This window comes from Homo sapiens, chromosome 7, assembly GCF_000001405.40.
Source record: "Homo sapiens chromosome 7, GRCh38.p14 Primary Assembly".
Lineage (NCBI taxonomy): Eukaryota > Metazoa > Chordata > Mammalia > Primates > Hominidae > Homo > Homo sapiens.
Genome location: NC_000007.14, coordinates 46,781,328 through 46,785,089, shown reverse-complemented (window position 1 = coordinate 46,785,089; position 3,762 = coordinate 46,781,328). Strand labels below are relative to the sequence as shown.

Here is a 3,762-nt window from a genome sequence, read left to right as displayed (position 1 = left end):
ATAACACAGGCTTTATCTGTGACAATTGGTAAAACAGAAATATTTGGTCCAGCTCACTCCCCATGCTGGAAAATGACCATCTGTCTTGACTCTGGACTTCAGGTGTTGAAGTTCAGGAAATCAAAGTTGAAGTTGATTTACAACTAACCAGCTCTGGGTGAGTGACTCACAGTAACAAAGTTTACAGGATCTGATTCACACATCTACATGCCAATTCATGGTTAAGGAGCAACCTTCTTGCTGTGGGAACCAATGCTCTTTCTTTGTAGAAAGCACCTTTCTGAGTGTGTTTGTCTATGGAAGTACCAAGCTGCCAATAGAAAGTCAGGGTGCTGAGTTTGGCATCTGAGCAAAGGGACTTGCATTCTTTAAATGTGTATTTCTGGATATCTCTGCAAGTCACACAAATTAGCCTTTCTAATATTTCAGAAAAGAATTAAGGTTTATTTAGAACGAATCTTATACAAATAGTGAGTAATTAAAAGGCTGGGTAATTTCAGTGTAAACTAAATTAACAAGGAGCAACAGAAACTCTCATCCGTTGGCAGATGAAATGTGAAATGGTGCAACCACTTTGGTAGAGAGTTTGGTAGTTTCTTACAAAACTAAAGCACAGAGTTAAATATGACATGGTAATTGCATTTCTACTAATTTACTCAATTGCACTGAAAATCTCTGTCTATACAAAACATTATGATAGATAATCCTACTGCTTTAAATTCCTTTTGCTATCATTTCTGCTTATCATTAGGATTCTTATAAGTAATTTGGCAGAACAAGTGAAACTGCTTCAGAATGGAAATGTCACGCATATATTCTATAATATTACATGCTAATATTATGGTCATGCTTAGTTCAAAATGGTGGGCTTAACAGGAGCGGATATAGCAATATGAAGCTTATAGAATCTCTGCTAGAATCTTTCAATATTGATGTTTTTCAGTGTGCGTCTCAGACAAAATGTGGATAAAAAGTTAAAGGCAATGGGGGGATGTTGCAAATCCACAGCGCAAATTTTTTCAAAACTCATTCCCTTCTACATTCATTTATTCATAATTTATTTTTATTTTATGTATTTTGTTTGCTTTTTTCCTTGACATACCAGGAATGTAAGGCTAAGTTGTTTTTCTAAAAATCCTCTCAAGTAAAACAACTAATGATTAAAAATTGGTATCTGGTAATCTGACCCAGAATCTTGCCTTTTTTTCCCCCCTAGAGATGGAGTCTTACTCTGTCGCCCAGGCTGGAGTACAGTGGCGTGATCTTGGCTCACTGCAACCTCCACCTTCCAGGTTCAAGTGATTCTCCTTTCTCAGTTTCCTGAGTAGCTGGGACTACAGGCATGTGCCACCACACCCACTAATTTTGTGGATTTTTAGTAGAGATGAGGTTTCACCACGTTGGCCAGGCTGGTCTTGAACTGACCTCAGGTAATCCGCCCCCCTCAGCCTCCCAAAGTGCTGGGATTACAGGCATGAGCCATCACGCCCGGCCCTCACTTGTTTTCATGGACCTAGATTTATCACGCACGTCTATATTTGTACATCTATAATCACATACTATTTATAAGTTGTTTTTAAGACCTCTCAAAACCTTATAACAGAAGATTTCTTCCAGGACCCAATAGTGGTGATTGGGAGATCTTCTTTTTTTTTTTTTTTTTTTTTTTTGAATTCGATATTTTGGAACTTATTTATAGGCTAGACAATAAGTTACTCAGATTAACCCAGATCAATAGCACCTTGACTTGGTGACCCAGAGAATTCTAATTAGCTTTTAGACACATTTTTCTTTATCTTGATATTCAGTACATCATGTAAGTCAGTAACCATGTTAAACAAAATTAAAAGGACAAGTTATAGTTTACTTCACAGTCTATTTCAAATTCAGTTTGTGCACTAGGTCAGTTTTACAGGAAATGGTCTTTTAACATATGAAGAGTATAGATAATCTGTCAGGTCTCTTCTCTCCCAATTAAGAAAACAAGAATTATTTTGGCTAACTTGACAATTTTGTAAATGAAAAACATGAAGTGAGTAAATAAATCACAAAGATGGACAAAAAGCAATATGATATAATACACATCACTTTTTCCATTTGTATTCGGTAAGTTTTTACATTTCAAGTAATTGAAATATATATATGTTTTTCTTTTATATATATATATACACACACATACATATATAGTACCTTCCAGTTCTAGATTACTAAAGTTTATTCTGCAAAAGTACAAAAATAAACCTCTTAAGAAGTAAACAGGACAGGGCATGGCAAAAGCGAATGGCTGCATGTTAAGATTTTTTCTTGCCTTATATTGATGGGTGTATTTTAGGTGATAAATTTTCTTCACTATTTAGCACTTAAAATGAACATTTTCTTACAAACATTAGTTGTAAGAAACTGATTTTTATTAATTAGCAAACACATTGAGAGGTATCTGTTGATCTGTTATTCTTTAAATCCAGATAAATATTTTTAAAAAATAATTTCACACATGAGGCTTTAATGTGTTTATTTAGGAAAAGATAGAATCTGAGGCTACAATGGTTCAACCTAAAGCATCCCTTTTTCAATAGTGGAGCCAAACTCTGCAAAATGTTTTTCCTTGTCTCTAAAAATTAAATTAAGTAGTATTTTTACTATAAGGAAATTTGAAATTTTCCTATCATCAGGATTTTTATCAGTAGCCAATTTGCACCAATCATAAAATGTGTTAGTCCATTTTCAGGCTGCTGATAAAGACATACTCAAGACTGGGAAGAAAAAGAGGTGTAATGGACTTACAATTCCACTTGGCTGGGAAGATCTCACAAGCATGGTGGAAGGCAAGGAGGAGCAAGTAACGTCTTACATGGATGGCAGCAGGCAAAGAGAGAGAGCTTGTACAGGGGAACTCCTCCTTTTAAAACTATCAGATCTTGTGAGACTTATTCACTATCACCAGAACAGCATGGGAAAGGCCTGCCCCCGTGATTCAATGACCTCCCACAGGGTCCTTCCCACAACACATAGGAATTCAAGATGAGATTTGCATGGGGACACAGCCAAACCATATCATAAAAGAAACAGACTATTCTTTCCCTTATCCTCACTCAACCATGATGAACATCTTATAAAGCCACACTTGAGAAGGTGGTGGGTACACATGTTGGTGCTACTGATTCAGCAGCTATGGAGCATTTCAGCTCCTAATGTGTACCAAGTGTGCTCCACATGCTGGAGATAAAGGAGTTAAAAAGGCAAATGAAGATTTGGGCCATAGGAGGGTTTACATTTATGAGAAAGAAACAGAATATACATGCAACAGAAAAACATGTAATGCATTATCTAGTTACAATTTTGCTGTAAGTAAAGGGAAATACAGCTAAATGGTGACAGAAGGGAGGCTCCTTAGAGTGGACACTCAGGAAAGACCACTTGAAGGAGGTGATACTTGAACAGAGGCCTAAATAATAGTTCCCCTGCTATGTTTTGTGGAAGCATTCAAGGGACAGACAGCTGAAGTGCAAAGACTGGATGTGAGAACCAGTTGGGATGAAACCTTCCAGGGATGGCTTGGGATGGACTGAGTAAGGAGAGATTGAAATGATTTTAGCAGATGAGATCAGAGGTGGCCAAAGACTAGATTACATGGAGTCTGGTGCCCATAGGGAAACCTTAGATTCCTTCCTGTGTGCAGGAGAGTCTAAGAGATTTAAAAAGAGAAGTGATATGCCTTGAGTTTGTGTGTGTGTGTGCGTGTTGTATGTTTTCTGGTTTGAG

General features: G+C 36.9%; 1 pseudogene; it reads right to left on the bottom strand.

Annotated features, from left to right (window-relative positions):
* On the bottom strand, positions 1,670–3,100 carry EPS15P1 (epidermal growth factor receptor pathway substrate 15 pseudogene 1; annotated as a pseudogene).